Here is a 20,222-nt window from a genome sequence, read left to right as displayed (position 1 = left end):
CCCTAGCTACCTCTGTTTTCCCTGGTCGCTTAAGGATAAGTTTTTCAAATTAGGTTTTTCAAAAAATTAGTTTAGTATACAGACTCTGCTAAAGTTTTAGTTGATAAAGGCAACAGAGTTAAAATGAAACTGAATTTTACCAAAAAGCTAAACGAGTAACAAGGAATCTATGCAAGAAAAGGGAAGAAAGTGCCCGAGTGAGCATTTTAATTAACTCACATGTAATTTTAATTAAAAACATAATGTGTCAGGAAAATGAGTAATGCCTTAGGGCAAAAAAGTAGCTGGGTTTCCTGCTTAATCTTCTGCTTCATCTCTTTCATGGCACGTGTAAGTTATTGTTAAGGAAAGATTTTCTTCTGTTTCACAGTCAAAGAGAACCTCTGTTAACAAAATGAGTTGAATAAGATAAGAAAATTGTAGAAAAATACCGTGTGTGACGGTCTCATTTTCTTTCTTAGATAGGAGTTTCTCAATTCCTTTGTCTTGGTATTTCTTTTTGCAGAACACACCCTTTCAGGAAATCTGATAACTGGATCAAATCAAGGCCTCTAAACTCACTTTGGTCAAAATTTGTTATCTTTTTTGTGATTAAAATGATCATGAAGGGCTAACAATCCCTTTCCCCCACTTAGATGTTAAGCATCCAAGAGTACCTGACTCCACAGAAATAACCCTGACTTGGAGCCATGTGATTTGGGGTTGTATCTCACCTCTTTATACAAACTGACTTTAAAGCTTTCTGGAATTTACTTCTGTATCAGTCGTGGAGAATAATGCATGCATCCTAGGGTTAGAGTGAGAAGTAAGTGGTATCATGAATATGGAAATACTCATCTCTCTCGCTTAAGAATTTTATTCTTATGTAACACAAATTGTTTTGTTGCAGCTATTGTTTATAACTCACCATTGCCTCTGAAGTGGGATTGATCTTGGTAATGGCAACATAAATAGAGGAGGATGGGAGCCCAGCCTCCTTGTGATGGAAGAATAGAGTGGAAAACTTTGGTGAGGGCAAGCAAGGAAGACAAAGTTTTGGCAAAAAAACATGCCTAATGAGCATTTTAAAAAAATTTACTGTTGGACGTCTGATCTCCCTGATAAAATCTTCAGATAATTTTTTGATTTGTGGGGTGGTGAATTCTTTATGGAGATTGCATAGAGTTACAAAGTCCTATCCCAAGTCAAGTTGAGGAGACAGCTGACTTCTAAGTTTCACTTGGATTGTGACAACAGCTTGACCCATCTAACAAAAAGAACTCTCTGTCATGATACTCTGCTAATCCCAGTGACAGTTCTAGTTGACTGTCAGGGCCAAAGAAGAGGCTGTGTCTTTAATTCTTGCTTTTTACAATTACCCTTGGTTTCCTGGAGAGTCAAGTGCCCCTCTTCCATCACCTCTAGAAGCAAAATTATGGGAGGTGTGATACTCAACATTAATGATAGCCACCATGTTACCCAACTGGTCTCCAGACCTTGCCCAAAACCTTGTGGTTACATCAGGAGGCAAATCTATGTCATATCTGTGCAACTCTGTTACTTCAGAAATGGCTGAGGCCTGAGGCTGAACTAGGGTGAACTTTTTAAAATTTTATTTTATTTTATTTTTGAGACAGAGTCTCGCTCTGTCGTCCAGGCTGGAGTGCAGTGGTGTGATCTCGGCTCACTGCAAGCTCTGCCTCCCGGGTTCATGCCATTCTCTTGCCTCAGCCTCCTGAGTAGCTGGGACTACAGGCACCCGCCACCATGCCTAGCTAATTTTTTGTATTTTTAGTAGAGACAGGGTTTCACCGTGTTAGCCAGGATGGTCTCAATCTCCTGACCTCGTGATCCGCCCACCTGGGCCTCCCAAAGTGCTTGGATTACAGGCATGAGCCACCGGGCCCGGCTGGGTGAACTTAATTAAAACTACAAATGATAGGGGCAGGAGGCACAGAAATTCTAGACAGAGAAAGGCGGGTCCCTGGCAAAGCCCCACCCTCAAGCCTGGAGCTACAGCCCAAAGTGAGAACACACATTCCTGTTTTCCCGCTCGAATGTTGCCTTTTCTAAAACTACCCATGGCCCTGATGAGAACCACTTTCATTGGCAATAAAATCCTCCATATTCACCACCCTTCAGTTTGTTTATGTGACCTGATTCTTCCTGGATGACAAACAAAAGTTTGGATGCCATGGGTGTGGATGCTAAAGGCTGTCGCACTGACCCTCTGCCCTCGCGAAAAGGCAGAGGGCCCACTGAGCTGTTTAACACTTCAGCCGTAAGTGGACAGCAAAGCTAACAGAGCACTGTCACACATGCCGTCTGGAGCTTCAGGAGTCATGGGTACCTCCTTAGACACTGCCACAGGGCTGCAGAGTTTTGTTCCCGTCAGTGCCTAAATGTCTTGCTCTGGCTCCTGCACCTGTTCTCCTGCGTGCTCTTCCTCGCGCAACGGTTTGAGAGCTGTGGGCTGAGTAAGCAAGGCAACCCTGTCGTGAGGCCTGCAAAGGGATCAAGGAAAATTTCTTGTCTCATTAAGACCGCCAATACAGATATAAACAAGAGCAAAAGCTGGGCAGGAGTGTTAAGCTCTAACAAGTCAGAAGTGGTGTCCACACTGTGAAGGTCAAGAAATCCAGAAGCCACTAGTAAGTCAGGCCACTGAATTTGCAATATGGCCCCTGAAAAGTAATAACACGTGAGAAGCCATTGTGGCAGGGGCAGAGGTGGGGAGTGGGCAGTAGGAAGTGGGGGGTGGGCCCTAGAGGAATTACGTGGTTTCCAGGGTTCAATTTGTATGTGCCTTTGCGAGCGAATCATAGTACAGCCTATGGGTGGGTTAGTTTTGCATAAAGGGCCAGCAGCAGACAGTCAAGTATGCCCTACCATGTTGTACTTGTAGACCTGGTCTGGTGAGAAAGATCACAGACTCACTGGCTCTCCCTGGACTCAAGATCTCCTAGATGACAGATACAATCCCTTGAGGTGACCCTTTTCCTTACCCATCCTCTGGCCTCTCACAAAGTAATAAAGTCATCACTCTGTCATATCCCTTGGTAAAACAAATTCTATTTTTAATGAGATTTGAGGGTTTATTGCTCACGTTGGGATTTTATTGTGGTTGTATTTTCACCTAAATATACTGGACAGATAACAAATAAAAATAGACCTCTTGGAGACTTATTTGTATAAATTTTCCCAAAATGCCACAAATGGGAGATAAAAGTTTAGACTTGAACTGGTTGCATGCTGAGAAGATAGGATTTAATTTTACATTGCATTTCCTGCTATTGTAATCATTCACCCCAGATTTGCCCCAATCCTGCTCAGCTGCTTTTCTGAAGCCAGGTGGAGCTTCCATTTCATTCTGAGAACTGTTAATTGGTGGCAGCTCACTCTCCTCCGGGTAAAGATAAAGAAATGTGAATACAATAGAGTCATTAGTCATACTTTCTAAAGTGTGTTTTCCAACGTGGCCAATTTACAGTCTTGGGATTTATATCTTCTTGGTTCCCAATCCAAGCACCAATTTTCAAGTCCACTGGCTAGAACAAGAAGTTTTCACTGAATGTTAAAAGCCACCAATCATGGCAAAGAAAAACCATGAAGTTTCAAAGTTTTCTTCATAGAAATGACAGCAATGCTTTTCTGTCAGCATGGTGACTTTGGTACAGCACACGTCCATGCACAGTATGGAGCAAATTTATGCTGAGTCCTTTCTGAGAAAATGTTTAGCCTGGAGGTTATGGCTTGGTTGCCTGGAGACCCAGGTAATCTTGTGATTTCTTCTTTCATGTCTGTTTCTTGTAGCAGCTCAGAGAAGCCAGATAGTTCAACAGAAGAATTCTGCTCACCTTGCCCTTCTTTGTCTTTATCTGATACCTGCCAAACCCTTCTTTTGCAAAGAACCCTATTCTACCCCAACCAGGGGTAGACATTTTATTTTAAATAGGAAACTTTTCATTTACCAAAACAGCCTTTAACTCATTTTGCCCTTATGCTAATCAGAAGTATAAAGCGATTAAATATTGTGCAGCCTCAATATTGCAAGGCATATACATAAAGGGCGGAATTTGGCATTAGTAATGAGCTGCTCTCTCTCATTCACAGTTTCTACAAAATCTTCACTTCCAGAAATCCTTTGGTTTTTCTCCCTGTGCCTCCTTTCTATAGCCCAAATATCAATAGGGAGCCCATCACTATTAAAATAAAACAATGGAAACCTTCACTACTAACTCCAAAATTCATTCTTTCTGCTGTTTCCATCATGGCTTTTGGGAAGCAATCAGGGAGAATTAAGGCATACACTCCATTGTGTAGTAAACAGGGACCTGGAAACCTCACAGGTAGATGAGGAGGGTGAATACCTGGGAGCTGTGACCTGTACTTGGCCACTTGCCTTAATTTCCTACAGTGTTTAATCTGTTAGCTTAGATGAATTTGGTTCTGGTTACAATGCAAAGATCTTTTAGTTTTCAATTTTTACACTACATTGTAACTAAATTCTTACAATTTTCTGGGCTCGGCTTTTGGTGGAAGGCAAAAGGAAAGTTTTCCAGGCTCAGTTGAAACAGTGAGTAGAGCCTGTCATAAGAAATGGTAAAAATTGTGAAGATGGGGATCATCTGACTTCACATTCATCCCAGTGTTTGCTATGAGCAGCCTGGAATCAGGAATTTGCTAGGAACCTGCCAGCTGAAGGAAGGCTTGGCATTTCCTCAGTTTCCTCAACTCAGGCCCAGGATGTCTCCCAAGGACACCCATGGCTTCACCCAGGCTTCTAGTCTCCTACGGCAGACAAAGCGGCATTGTTTACTAAGCATCTGATTTCTTTTCCTCATGCTAAAGAGGATGTTGGTGAGTGGATGACTGTTTGTCCTTCCCTGGAAGCTACAAAAATAACTAAACTGTCCTGACTGCCTGGGACAGCCTTTTGGAGAAAGGGAGGCTTACAGGGAAAAGTCTGCACTCTAGAAACTCAGAATATTCAGGGTGCCTTGGGTATGGATTCTTGTTACTTCAGTCCTATTTTTGCCATGGCAATGGGCATAAAATCATTTTCCGACACACAGGGGAGTTTCTACTTTCACTGGATGTAAAGTAATTTTTATTAGATTATTATCATTTTAATGGGTGCTAATCAGTTGGTAAACATACGGGCAAAGCTTATACCAACACCTGTTCTCGGCTGGTATGGAGATCTCTTTGCAGCGCTCCACATACATAGGCTTAGTTCATTAAAAACTAAATAGTATATTAATAATTGACTTCCTTGGAAACATATTGGCCCCAATGCTGTGTGTTCTGTTTTAATTTTCCTTGTAGAGGCACTGAAAGCACAGGAAGTGTCTCGTACAGGGTATTTTAACCAAGTAATCATGGTTATTACTGAAAACAACAGCTCGGATGCTTTTTCGCTGGCTTCCAGGGACTCATGAAAAATTCCCTTTTTTTTCCTTTACAAGACTATTTATTTCATTTAGCTTTTAAAGCCTATCTCTATCCTGTCTTAACTGCAGGATCTCGCTTTCTGAAGCCAAAATACAACCTTGTTTTGTTGTTGTTGTTTGTTTGTTTGTTTTGGCAAACAAAGAGAAGCCAGAATCTTACCTACCTAACCCAATTTACTGAATAGACGTTTCCAATTTGGATTCAACATTATTTTTTAATATAATTTTTTCATTGATAGTTCATTTGACATTTATTTAAACTGTAGGAATCAGGATAAAGTGAGGAAATCAAATTGAGAAATAAAGTCAAATAAGGCAGGTAAAATAAGGTAAACATTTTTTAATATAGGAAGTCATTAAATATGTTTTACTGGGGTTCCCATTGGGAAGCTCAATATAATAATAAGTTAATGCTAATAATCATTTATCGAGGGCTACTAAGTGATACAAATTATGTCAGGTGCATTGCTTGAACAAATAAAAAAGGCTGTAAGGTGACTATTATCATCTCTATTTTTTTTTTCTTTTTTGAAACAGGGTCTTGCTCTGTCACACAGGCTGGAGTGCAGTGATGAGTGAGATCATCGCTCACTGCAGCCTCAAACTCCTGGCCTCAAGCAACCTTTCTGCTTCTGTCTCATAGAGCACTAGGATTACAGCTGTGAGGCACTGCACCTGGCCTTTCCATTTTTAGGATGAGTACTCTTAAGTTCAGTGTCTTAACCTTTTCAAACTACTAAATGCCAAAGACAGGATTTAACCTAGGGCTTAATCTCATTTTCTTCTGCTACTCTGTCCTATTTTCTCTCCCTGATAATAATTACATTTATTAAGCATCTACTATGTGTGCTAGGTATTATACAGATATCATTTTTTATCTTTATAGCAACCCTATGAGATAGCTATTTTAATCTGTCTTTAGCAGGAAAAAAAAATGAGGTGTAGAGAAATCCAATTTCTTGTCCAGATTTTTATAGTTAGGAAAAGGCAGGATAGATTTTCAAATCTGGATCTACCTCAAACCAAAATTTGAGTTGCTTCCAGTCAGCATCATGGTGAATTGGTGATGAAGGAGAAAGCATCTCTAAGATTGATATTTTAGCTCATTGCTAATGATAAATTAAGTCATTAAGAAATAAGCCAGGCAAGGCAGTGGCTAACACCTGTAATCCCAGCACTTTGGGATGAAGAAGCAGGAGGATTTCTTGAGGCAGGAGTTCAAGACAAGCCTGAGCAACATAGCAAGACCCGGTCTCTACAAAAAAAAGTTAAAACTGAGCCAGGAGTGGTGGCACATGCCTGTATTCTCAGCTCCTTGGGAAGCTGAGGTTGGAGGATCACTTGAGCTCAGGAAGTCAAGGCTGCAATGAAGTATGATTATGCCATTACACTTCAGCCTGGATGACAGAGCAAGACTTTGCCAAGAAAGAAAAAGGAAGAAGGAAAGAAAGAAAGAAAGAAAGAAAGAAAGAAAGAAAGAAAGAAAGAAAGAAAGAAAGAAAGAAAGAAGGAAGGAAGGAAGGAAGGGAGGAAAAAGAGAGAGAGGAAGGAAAGAAGGAAGGAAGGGAAAGAGAGAGAGAGACAAACAGAGAGACATAGAGAAAGAGAGAAAGAAAGAGAGAGAGAGAAACCAAGTATAGCATACTTTATTACTGTATCTGAATTTCACAGATTTAGTACATTAAACAGGACTTTGCAGTTTATGGATACATCATACTGTACCCAACATCTTATAGCTACATGCAATGCTTAAATCTTATATTTCATCTTTCTCCTGGCTCTGTTAACCTTAGTGATTTGGTCACTATTTATTTGAATATTGGGTAACCTACTCAACATCACAAAATGAGCAGAGAAGCTGGATTTCAAACCTGAGGTCTTGATTCTTAACACCAGTTGATTCCATAGTGCAACTAATCTCTATCATCTCTATTGGCTATTTGGTCTTTTTATATTGTAAGAAGAAATCAATGCCATAGAAATATAAAAACCAACCTCTACTCCTTCAGAATATATGTTTTCAAGGAGATATTTGTCAAAATATTATTTTCAAACTCTGAAGATATTAAAGAATAACAATGTAATTCTGTTTTCTTATTTTGTTTACAAGACTTGTGGTGCTGTGTGTGGGTGGCAGGGAGTAGGTAGAATTCACGGGATATGAGGTCCTTTAAAATAGATGAGTACCATTCTAGCTACAGGAGTTACATTATTTCAGTCCCTATCTCATTTTCTAAGCCTTAGCCTCGCCGTTAGAATGTGTAGCTCTGCCCAGTTGCCAGAGGCAATCATAATGTCCAAAGAACTGTATTCACATAACTTTAGCTCTCCCATGTTAGAGTAGTGAGCAGCCACCAAATCAAGGTACTCCAGGGTCCCAGGGCTGACCAGCGGTCCTCTTACCACCTTTTCAGTCCCAACTCTCCCCACCCACATGTACCCAGTGGTAAGGCTTGCGGCTTTGGTTCCTGCTTCTAAGTCTCACTTTTGCTTCAACAGTTCAGGATTTGTCTTTGAGCACTCATTGAGTAACTCGAGCTGCTGCTCTACAGTTGAATCTGGATGGTGACTGCCTTTTATTGATTCTCATTCATGGACCACACTTCCTTGTTGGGACCTTGCTGCCACTTCTACAAACTGCAATGTTCCTTGTTGCCTGAGTTATGACTGAGCTTGCTATATCCCTTGGACACTTTCTTTGGCCGCTTAGTAGAACCTCCATAGTTGTCTGTCAAACCTGTTCAGTTCTAGTGAGCCTCATTTACTGTCTCTCTTTGCCGAAGTATGCCCCAATGGCACATCATGTCTCAGTCTCAAGATAGAAAAATAATGCTGCCAGTCTCATTCTATCAGCCCCAAGCAATTACACCACCAGTATGAGTCCCATTGTAGTTATTTTTAAAATACAATTCATTTTCTTATTTTCTATTATCTTCAGTTTTCCCTGAGGTATTCATCAAAATGAAAATGAACTAGTTAAAGTCTCTGAAGGAAAACTCTACATTTTGAGCCTGATATAGCAGCTTAGTTCTCCAGTTACATTTCCACAGAAGAAACTTACATCCAAGTACTGAATTTATGACAGCACCCACCCAAGAGAATTATAATAGGTTGAGGCTGCCAATTTATTGCTGCTGGTAAGAAGGTGTGAGCGTGTTGTTGCCCCTCTAGGCTAGAGCTCAATGAACAAAATAATCTTTCTCTGTCTTCACAGAATTTGTGTGGCTGGCAATATTCTATTTATTTAATTACTTCTCAGGATTTCTCAGGGGAAGATAGAGTTGAAAGCCCTGAAGTTGTCTCACAAGATGTGAATAATTCTTAGTAAGTATGTTTAAACAGAAAGAAGAACCTAACTTCAGCATTTTGTAGCTTCAGCTGTCAGTGCAGTAGATGTCTGCCCCACATCCAACCCACAGCTGTTTGATGACCACACACTATGTACAAGGTATTACATTAACTGCCGAGAAAGACCTGTGCCTTGTTCAGGAGGAGCAAAGTTACACTGATTTGAAACACAGTCCACCAAAAACAAAGTCGGCTTCAAATCACCATCATTCTCCAAAGTAATATGGTGGGTGTTTTCCAGGTGGACTGCAAACCTTTTGAGGGAGGGGTTTCAATCTTCAGTTTTTGAAACCCTGTGATATGGTTAGGCTTTGTGTCCCCACCCAAATCTCATCTTGAACTGTAATCCCCATAATCCCCACATGTCAAGGGAGACATCAGGTGGAGGTAATTGAATCATGGGGAGAGTTTCCACCATGCTGTTTTCATGATAGTGAGTTCTTGTGAGATCTGATGGTTTCATAAGGCGTTCTTCTTTGCTCAGCACTTCTCCTTCCTGCTGCCTGTGAAGGAAGTGCCTTGCTTCCCCTTCATCTTTTGCCAAGATTGTAAATTTCCTGAGACCTCCCCAGCCATGCTGAACTGTGAGTCAATTAAACCTGTTTTCTTTACAAATCACCCAGTCTCGGGCAGTTCCTTATAGCAGTATGAAAATGGACCAATACACCCTGCTGTCTCAAATGCCAAGCACAGTACTTTACACAGTCAGCAATAAGCATTTCACATGTGTGAATGCAGCTAACATTCTTCAAACTTCTTTCTAAATAATATTTTCCAGATAATTTCAAAATTGCAATTAATTATAAGGTTGGATTTAGAGTTTAGTGAGTTGAAGAGAGTTTTCCAGTCATTGCCAATCGATTTTATGTTTAAATGGTGACATCTTTGCTCACTGTGCCTATATTATCTATTACTTTTACACTATTTAATGTCTTATATACATGAAGAGGAGGCGATTTTTACAAAATTATAATTAGTTGATCGGTTTTTTTATGGGTACCTTCTTCCATATAAGATTTGAAGAAAAGCATACCATAAAATGGTAAAATAAATGATAAAATAAGGAGGGAAAATATAAATTAGAAAAGGAGGTACAGACTAGGAGGATGTATCTGGCTGAGCTATCTGAAAGTCAAACTGTAAAAGGAGGCATAGTCAATTTCACAATTGTTATAATCCACAAAAAGAAATTTGACTAGATTTTCAGGGAAATAAAAAGTCTCTCTCAGGATGCTATAGTCTGAATGTTTGTGTTCCCCAAAAATGTATATGTTAAAATATACATATATTTTTTAGATGGACTCTCACACTGTAGCCCAGACTGGAGTGCAATGGCTTTATCTCGGCTGACTGCAACCTCCGCCTCCCCGGTTCAACTGATTCTCCCGCCTCAGCCCCCCGAGTAGCTGGGATTACAGGCATGCACCGCCATGCCCAGCTAATTTTTGTAGTTTTAGCAGAGACAGGGTTTCACCATGTTGGCCAGGCTGATCTTGAACTCCTGACCTCAAGTGATGCACCCACCTCGGCCTCCCAAAGTGCTGGGATTACAGGTGTGAGCCACAGTGCCCAGCTTATATGTTGAAATCTTAACCTCCAAGGTGAGGAGTATTAGGACGTAGGACTTCTGGGAGGTGATCAGGTCACAAGGGTAGAGTCCTCATCAAAGGGATTCATGCCCTTATAAAAGAGGCCCCAGGCCAGGTGCGGTGGCTCACGCCTGTAATCCTAGCACTTTGGGAGGCCGAAGAGGGCGGATCACGAGGTCAGGAGATCGAGACGATCCTGGCTAACACGGTGAAACCCCATCTCTACTAAAAATGCAAAAAATTAGCCAGGTGTGGTGGCGGGCTACTCAGGAGGCTGAGGCAGGAGAAAGGTGTGAACCCTGGAGGCGGAGCTTGCAGTGAGCCGAGATCACGCCACTGCACTCCAGCCTGGGCGACAGAGCAAGACTCCGTCTCAAACAAGTAATAATAAAAATAAAAATAAAAAAGAGGCCCCAAAGAGACCTCTTTGCCCTTCTGCCATCTGAGGACACAGAGAGAAGGCTCCATCTATGAACCAGGCCCTCACCAGATACTGAATCTGCCAACATCTTGCTCTTCCCAGTCTCCAGAATTGTAAGAAATAAATTTCTGTTGTTAATAAGCTACCCAGTTGATGGCACTTTGTAAGAGACAGCACAGACAGACTAAGACAAAAGATTTGAGAAGGGATCTAGATGTCACATAAGTTAGGTTTCTTGCCCCTCAACTTCGTTTGCATACCATACCCTCTTCTTTGTTTTGATGTCTGTGTCCCGTTGGAAGCCAGTTTTGAGTGTGCAGCCACCCACCTCCCAGTCTAGCTTATGCTGGGTACCATCAGTTAGGTTCTAGTGTTGCTAGGAGCTGGCCTGGCATTCATAGCTAGGCCTTGGTGTTCTCTAGTTAAACATAACAATTTTACAGAACACCAATTTCAATTAAAGCCACTCTGTAACCATAATAGATCAAGACAAAAACAAGCACACACCAAAGTTATGTCTCAACACAGACAAAACAGGAAAAATGTCAAACTTCCAAAATAATTGAATATATTTATATCATAACTATTATATATAACTACAGCTTCCTTAGCAATTATAGCTTTATCCTTGGTCCTGATGGTTATGATGGGGTCTTCTTAATCTAAACTCCTGCTTCTTCCAGGGCAAACACCTGTTCCCTCCATGTTTTCTCATAATAATATAATTGCTATACATATTTCTCTAAGGAATACTAGGGACAGTTTGAAATTTCAGTGGCCACTTTAGAGAGTTTTTAACACAAAAAGGATTAAGTTGAAATTAGTTTAGAACAAAAAGCAAAAAAAATTCTCATGAAGAGTTTACTTCATTTAACAGAGGGGACATATTCTTTGTTGTTTTATTTTGTTTGTTTTATTTTATTTTATTTTTATTTTTATTTTTTATTATACTTTAAGTTTTAGGGTACATGTGCACAACGTGCAGGTTTGTTACATATGTATACATGTGCCATGTTGGTGTGCTGCACCCATTAAGTCATCATTTAAGATTAGGTATATCTCCTAATGCTCCTAATGCGATCCCTCCCCACTCCCCCCATCCCACAACAGTCCCCGGTGTGTGATGTTCCCCTTCCTGTGTCCATGCGTTCTCATTGTTCAATTCCCACCTGTGAGTGAGAACATGTGGTGTTTGGTTTTTTGTCCTTGCGATAGTTTGCTGAGAATGATGGTTTCCAGCTTCATCCATGTCCCTACAAAGGACATGAACTCATCATTTTTTATGCCTGCATAGTATTCCATGGTGTATATGTGCCACATTTTCTTAATCCAGTCTATCATTGTTGGACATTTGGCTTGGTTCCAAGTCTTTGCTATTGTGAATAGTGCCACAATAAACATACATGTGCATGTGTCTTTATAGCAGCATGTTTTATAGTCCTTTGGGTATATACCCAGTAATGGGATGGCTGGGTCAAATGGTATTTCTAGTTCTAGATCCCTGAGGAATCACCACACTGACTTCCACAATGGTTGAACTAGTTTACAGTCCCACCAACGGTGTAAAACTGTTCCTATTTTTCCACATCCTCTCCAGCACCTGTTGTTTCCTGACTTTTTAATGATCGCAGAGGGGACATATTCTTCTCTGTTTTTTTTTTATTGTTGTTGTTTTTTGTTTTGTGTTTATTTTTTTACTTTGGGGATTAGTAAATTCTGGCTTTTAAGTAGTAAGTGTTGATGAAATTGTCACAAGCCCAAGCTATATCGAAATCAGTTGTAATGCCACTATCTTTTGTATTTATATCAGACTGTTTTTCTACATCTAAACTTTCTCTACTCTTAGAGGAAACATACTGTATATTAACCTTCTATCCTGTAACCTTGCTATAATTTCTTATTAGTTTCAGGAGTTCTTTTTGTTGTTGATTCTTTGGAATTTTCTACACAGACAATCATGTCATAGAATTACTTTTTACAGCAATAATTTCATATTTTTATAAAGTTGACTCCCTCTCATTTGTTTTCTGTTTCTTGTTGATCCTCTTGCAGTGGGCTCAAGTGTTGTATCTGTATAAAATGTCAAGTGATGCCAATCACCTCCAAGTGAGCAGTTCATCTCTCCAGCAAATGGCATATGATAGTAAAAAGTGGTCTCTTGCAGTTCCTTGCGTATTTTGTACTGTCTTTAGTGCAATACTCTAACCTTGAATGACACCATGCAACCCATATGAAGTACCACTAGTGATATCAACTGGAAGTGCTCTCATGAAGCAGAGAATATAACAATAAAAATTGAATTACTTGATGTGTCTCATAGATTGAGGTCTGCAGCTGTGGTTGACTGTTGTTTCAAGATAAATAAATCCAGCCTAAGGACTACAATTTTTTTTAAGGAAGGAATTCATAAAGCTATCACTGGGAATACACCAGCAAAAAATGCAGTGAAAGTCTTGAACTTTTTTAAAAATAGCTTTTTATCTCATTTTGAAAATGCAGCTTTTATTTGCGTGCCAAATTACTATAAGAAAGGCATATATTTATCTATAGACTAATATGATTTGAGGAAAAATGAAGTCATTATATGACAACTTAAAGCAAAAGGAAGGTAAAGGATCTAAAGCTGGGGAATTTAATGCCAGCAAAGGATGGTTAGATCTATTTTAGAAAGAGGTTTGGCTTTTTAAAGTCAATATAACAAGAGAAGTATCTTCTACTGACCAAGAAGCAGCAGACAAGTTTCCAGATGTCAATAAAAAAACCATCAAAGAGAAAGGAGATCTTACTGAACAAGGTTTTAATGCAGATGAAAGTGCTCTATTCTAGAAAAAAAATACCATGAATGTTTCTTAGTAAGAAAGAGAAGTGAGCATGAGGATTTAAGGCAGGAAGGGACAGGCTAACTCTACTGATTTGTGCAAATGCAGTTGGGCCTTTATTTACAAATTCCTTTATTTATAAAACTATTAACCCCCAAGCCTTCAAGGGAAAAGATAATTACCGGCTGCCAGTCTCTTTTGTTACAACAAGAAGGTCTCAATAATGAGAACTCTTTCTTTGAATCGGTTTCATCTTTTAATTTGTTTCATTGATGACTTGTGCTTGAAGTCTAGAAGTACCCTGTCAGTAAGAAACTGCCTTTTAAAGTTCTTTTCATATTGGACAATGCTTCTGGCCACCCACAACTCCATGAGTTCAACATCAAAGACATCAAAGTGGTCTACTTGCCCTTAAACACATTTCTAATTCAGCTTCTAGATTAGGGGATGATAAGGACCTTTAAGGCTCATTACAAATGGTACTCTATGAAAAGAATTGCCAACACCATGAAAGAGAATCCTGATAGAACATTATGAAAGTCTGGAAAGATTATTTCGTTGAAGAGGCCATAATTGTTGTAGAAGAAGCCATGAGTCTTTAAGCCTGAAACAACAAATTTCTGCTGAAGAAAACTGTGTGCACATGTTGTGCATGACTTCACAGGATTTATGACAGAGCCAATCAAGAAAATCATGAAAGAGATTTTGGATATGACCAAAAGGGGTGGGTGTGGTGGTAAAGAGAAATTCAAGAGCTAATAAACACCAGAGCAGAGGAACTAACAGAAAATGACTTGATGGAGATGAGTGTTTCTGAACCAGTGCCAAATCATGAGGAAGAAAACATAGAGGAAGCAGTGCCAGAAAATAAATTGACATTAGACAATCTGGCAGAAGGATTCTGATTATTCAAGATTGCTTCTAACTTTTTTATAACATGGACCCTTCCATGATACAGGTGGTGAGACTAAAGCAAACTATGAAAGGAAGATTGGTACTATACAGAAACATTTTTGGAGAAATGAAAAAGCAAAAAAGACAGGAATTACGATGAATTTCTGGAAATTTTCACCAAGTATGCCTGTTTCTCCTGCCTTTCCTTCCACCTCCTCAACTTGTTCTGCTTTTGCCATCCCTTCGACAGCAAGATCAACCCTTCCTCTTCCTCCTTCTCCTCAGCCTACTTAATGTGAAAATGACAAGGATGAAGAACTTTATGGTGATCCATTTCCACTTAATGAATAGTAAATATACTTTCTCTTCTTTATGATTTTCCTAATAACATTTTCTTTTCTCTAGCTTACTTTATTGTAAGAATACAGTATATAACACATATAACATATGGAATGTGTGTTAATTAACTATATTATTGGTAAGGTAAACAGTAGGCTATTACTAGTTAAGTTTTTAGAGAGTCAAAAGTTACATGCAGATTTTTGACTGCATGGGATGCGGCGGGGGTCAGTGTCACTAATCCCCACATTATTCGAGGGTCAACTGTAATTTCCATCTTGATTGAACCCTATTTCAAGCTCATATGACTAACAATGCAATGAACTCATATGATACCTCAGGCTTTAACATTAATAACTCTGAGTGTCATTTCTATGACATCCACCTGAGCAGTTTAGTTTCTTCATGATCTGAAACTTAGAATTTTGATTTTCTGAAGAAGGCACTGGAGAAAAACCACCCTTGAGACTTCATGGAAAGGAAATGACCAGGTACTATTAGCAACTAATACAGCACTGAAGCTCCAAGGTGTTGATCATTAAGTTACCATCTTAAAGACATACATCACTTACTCCTGGCTATTGGACATCCTAACGGATCTTAAACTGAGGATTCTTAGGAATTCCATACATAAGTAGTCAGTCCTCATCCAAAACTTTGTAAGAAGCTGCTGAGTGCAAAAGTATATAGCTTCTATGCAGGGCAATAGAATAACATTAAATTTCTGTTTCTGTGGCACTCTTTCTTTTTTAATCTTTACTCAATCACTAATGTTCCCTATTATACTTTGACATCCTCTATTAACTATTTAATAACTAAAATTTTTCTCAATATCTCTCTTATCTTTGTCATGTTACTTTTAACTTCTTATAATCTTCTTCCATGCTTTTTAAATTGATAGATCTGCTCTAAATTTGACTTATTGCTAACAAAATTTATTAACTATTAATTAATGATTAAACACCTTCTGCTCTTGGATGACACAGCATAAGGATAGATTCTTTGTTACAGGTCCCTTCTGATACTTAAGCTTCTCTGACATCATTTCATCCCAATTTTTCAGTTTTACAATAATTGGAACTAGGCCTCATGTAAACTGAAGGCTCTTATTGAAGTCACTACAATCTTGTCAGGAATGCTAGCTTATCAGAAATGAAAATTAATCCCCACTCATACCAGGTTGGTATACCATGACCTACCCTATATATTCATTCTAAATGTTAGGCACTTTCAAATATTTAAAACTAGCCACAAATGTTATATATAATTAGTCTTTCCTAACACCTTAACATGCCTCAAGTTTCCCTATGCTGTGCATTCATCCTTGCAATAAGCAAAAACCCCAGCTTAACTGTGAACGTGTTCTTGGTGATCTTTGGTTGGAGGGCATTGATACTAGGTCAATAAAATAACAGTTCCTGATTTAAGACGTATATAATCCAGTTGTATAATAGGAAAAACCAACTAACTGATCTCTCCTACTACACATTCAATGCTCAACACAGAACACATCTGTAACCAAAATGTGTGGAGTCCCCACATCAAGCAATTCTCTGACAACAGCTAGGTGTCCTGCAATTTAACTCAATTCTGACTGGAGACAGTGTCAGATCCCATGAGGTAAGAGCTCAGTTTCAAATCCTGCCCCATTTCAAATGCTGCTATGGTTTGAATGTTTGACCCCAAAGTTCATGTGTTGGCAACTTCATTCCCACGGTAGCAGTGTTGGGAGGTAGGGCCTAATGAGAGGAGACGATTAGATTATGAGGTTCTGCCCTCATGAATGAATTAATGCTATCATCACAGGAATAGGCTCCTTATAAAAGGATGAGTTCAGCTCCCTTTTATCTTTCTCTCTTGCCCTCTCTTTGTCCTTCCATCTTCTGCCATGAAATAACAGAGGACAAAGCCCATACCAGGGCCTCTTGGACTTTCTAGCCTCCAGAACTGTGAGAAATAAATTTATATTAATTATCAATTACCCAGTTTGTGGTATTCTGTTATAGTAGCACAAAACAGACTAAGACAGATGACAGTCACAAGGTCCAGGTTATAACCTTTGTTTCTAACTAACCAGCTATAAATTGGGGTTCCCACAAACTCCTCCTTGAGTTACACAGTTTGCTAGCATCTAGCATGACCCACCATACTAGAGAAACATTTTACTTATGTTTATAGTTTATTATAAAGGATATTACAAATGCTACAGATGAACATCCAGATGGAAGAGATGTATAGTGCAAGGTATGAGGGAAGGAGCACGGAGCTTCCTCTCCTCTCCAGGAATGACACCCTCCACATGTTCAGCAATCTGGAAGCTTTTCAAACTTCATACTTCTGATCATGGCTTGGTCTTTCTGGTAACCAGTCCTCACTCGGTAGCCCATTAAGAGACACCTCATTAGAACGAAAGATGCTCCAATCATCCAGAACGTATGAAGGGATTTGGAAGTTCTTTGTGAGAAACCAAGGTCAAAGATCAAATATGAAAACAAAAGATTCAGCCAACACTCTTCTTGCTCAGAAAATTTGAAGAATTTGAGGCGCTTTGTGCCAGAATCCAGAGGCAGAGTCAAAATGTATATTTCCCATTATATCATAATATCATACCAGTGTGGTGACAGACAACTTTTTCTCAACATTTGTTATATTAAATGGTAGGTAATTAATACATTAAAAAGCAGCATCACTATAGAGAAGAAATCAATTTGTTCTGTTGCTGGAGAAGGCCCTGTGACAGTTTCATAAATGAGGAGATATTTGAGGTGGACTTTGAAGGATGAAGATAAAAAGTAACAGAATGAAGGATAGCACTAATAAAGAGGAAGGAACATAATAGAAGGGAATGACATGAGCAATGATATCGTAGTATGAAAGTTAATAGATTTTTCAGTGATACAAAATAATCAGGTGAAACTTGGCCTGGAAAAGAAAACAGTGGAATTTGGACTCTAGTGTGCATATGGTAGGGGGCCATTGAAGACCTGTAAGTATGGCGGTATATAATCAGATTGCACTTTGGAAGATACCCTGGTGAGAAAGTGAGGGACTAGAGCAGCCTAAGGGAGAGACTAATGGCAACTGCAAAACTATTGCAAGTATCCAGAAGAGAAATCATGGCTTGAGATCAGGCAGGAAGTGGTAAGAGAACTGAGTGGACAGATTCAAGATGAACCATTTTTGAATTTCAGTACACATTACTGAACTCAGTGACCAACAGGATACACAGATTGAAGGTACAGAGAAGACCTTCAGAATGACTCTAGCATGAGGTATGGGGAAGTGTTTGGGAATTCTGAAGGAGATGAAGATTCAAAGAGGAAGATAATACGTCCAAATTTGGATTGCTGTCCATGTGGAGCATTCTGTTAGGGGTATCAAGACCTCTGTAAACATGGACTCGAAGCTTAGAAGTGAAGTCTAATCTGGAGAAAAAGATGTGGAGGGTAGGATGAAGATCAGGATGGATCTACCATCATGAAGAGATGGTAGATGATTCTGGAGAATCCCATCAGTTAAGGGGCCAGCAGATGAAATAATGTTTACAGAGATGAGACAAGAATGAGGAGATAAAAAGAACACAGTACAGTGGCTAATGCCTATAATCCCAGCACTTTGGGAGGCTGAGGTGGGTGGATCACCTGAGGTCAGGAGTTTGAGACCAGCCTGACCAACATGGTGAAACCCGTTCTCTACTAAAAATACCAAAAAATTAGCTAGGGATGGTGGTGGGCGACTGTAATCCCAGCTACTTGGGAGGCTGAGGCAAGAGGAAGAGGTTGCAGTGAGCCAAGATCCTGTCATTACACTCCAGCCTGGGCAACAAGTGTGAAACTCCATCTAAAACAAACAAACAAACAAAAACAGTAAGCACAATAAATATTCTGAATAAATAAATAAGAGTTATAATTTTGAATTACAGGTCTTTTCTTTCAAAATATTCCTTCTTTCTTTGGTTTTGGTAAAATCTCAACTGTGCTTTTTCCTCTCAAAGTATTCCTTCTTTCTTTGATTTTGATAAAATTTCCTTAACTGCTTTTTCTGCTACCACTGATTAATATAAAAATCTTTCTATGATCAGTGTCAGACTCCTAGGCTTCTCCTCTCTGAGAAATACAACAAAGTAAATATACTCAATCCTATTTCTATTTCTTAAATTACTTTGCTTGCATTGTACTGCCTATGTAGTCAAGTAGCCCCAGAATATTTGAAATACATTAACAGAGAAACAGGAAATAGTTAATGGCTGCTCCTGCAGCAGCTCAGTAAATTAGAATAATCAAATGCATCTTGGGGTAAACTCATGTGCACATAGCTGTAAACAGTAATCTCTATTCTTTTGAAAGCACAAATCACTTATTATGCCAATTCCTAATCATTCTAATTTCAAGTTGTAGATTAGAATAAGTCATAATGACAGAATTTGTACTTTCTAATTAGAGTTTATTTTTTAAAAAGCACAAAAATAAAATGGTGAATTACTACAAAGGAGAGAAAGTCTTATCATCAATTAATCAGAGAAAAAGAGAACCTAAAACATGTCCAAATCAAACAGAGATACAAAGTTTTAGTCATTCAGGGAAGTTCACAAAGCACATATCTTTCCTCCCAGAATCCCACAGAATTGTGTATAATAGAGGCAGAGGTAAGACAGCACCATGAGTTGCTGAGGAAGAGGAATTTGGTGGGTTGGCCACGCTTTGAAAAGGCCTCCATTTTGGGTGTATGCCAGGTTTCCCCAGCACCCAGTACACACAATTACTGCATTTGCATGTGTAAATTGGGTAATGGCGTGCCTATCAGATTTGTATGTGAAAATGCTATCAGCATATGCACTATTGGTTGTGTGCCCACTAAAAGAGGACTTTTAATGGGGTTGCATTAGTTGGGGAGAAAAATTTCTAAGAAGTTGACACCAGGTTCTACGTCCCTGGATCCACTGTAGATGCCCCTATGGATAACTGGCGCCCCTGATAATTACTTTTTTGTTGTATACTCCCTCAAATTCTATCCAGGGGAGGAAATTCATCAGAGCATCAGTTGACCAATTCTAATTAGCACAGAGCAAAATTATACCCAAGTTACTCTTGGCAGTGCCTATCAGAGCCGAATGAACAGACTGCCACACAACCAATCCATTCATCTTGGCCATCTTAACAATCAACATGGATCTCTCTATAAAATTGACTTTGTCTTTTTTCCCTGTTAAGACATAATATTCCTCAAACATATTTTCTGATACATCGTTTTACTTTCTGAAGACTTTAGTGCTTTTCAATTGCCTCATATGATGACTCACACCTGTAATCCCGGCACTTTGGGAGGCCAAGGCAGGCAGATCACGAGGTCAGGAGTTCTAGACAAGCATGGCCAAGATGCT

The 20,222-nt window shown here is 39.4% G+C and overlaps 1 long non-coding RNA gene across 2 annotated transcripts; it reads right to left on the bottom strand.

Moving 5' to 3' along the window:
- Positions 1-216: 216 nt before the first annotated feature.
- LOC105375880 (uncharacterized) lies at positions 217-11,124 on the bottom strand. 2 transcript variants are annotated; one of them, XR_928993.2, is made up of 4 exons: positions 11,056-11,124; positions 2,330-2,483; positions 714-787; positions 217-383 (listed from the first exon to the last, which is right to left on the bottom strand). It is a non-coding gene; the product is annotated as an uncharacterized LOC105375880 (long non-coding RNA). The 2 variants fall into 2 exon arrangements; XR_928994.2 differs by having other exon boundaries at positions 2,405-2,483.
- Between the last annotated feature and the right edge of the window lie 9,098 nt (positions 11,125-20,222).

Source organism: Homo sapiens, chromosome 8 (genome assembly GCF_000001405.40).
Source record: "Homo sapiens chromosome 8, GRCh38.p14 Primary Assembly".
NCBI lineage: Eukaryota > Metazoa > Chordata > Mammalia > Primates > Hominidae > Homo > Homo sapiens.
This window is presented reverse-complemented; position numbering and strand designations above follow the sequence as displayed.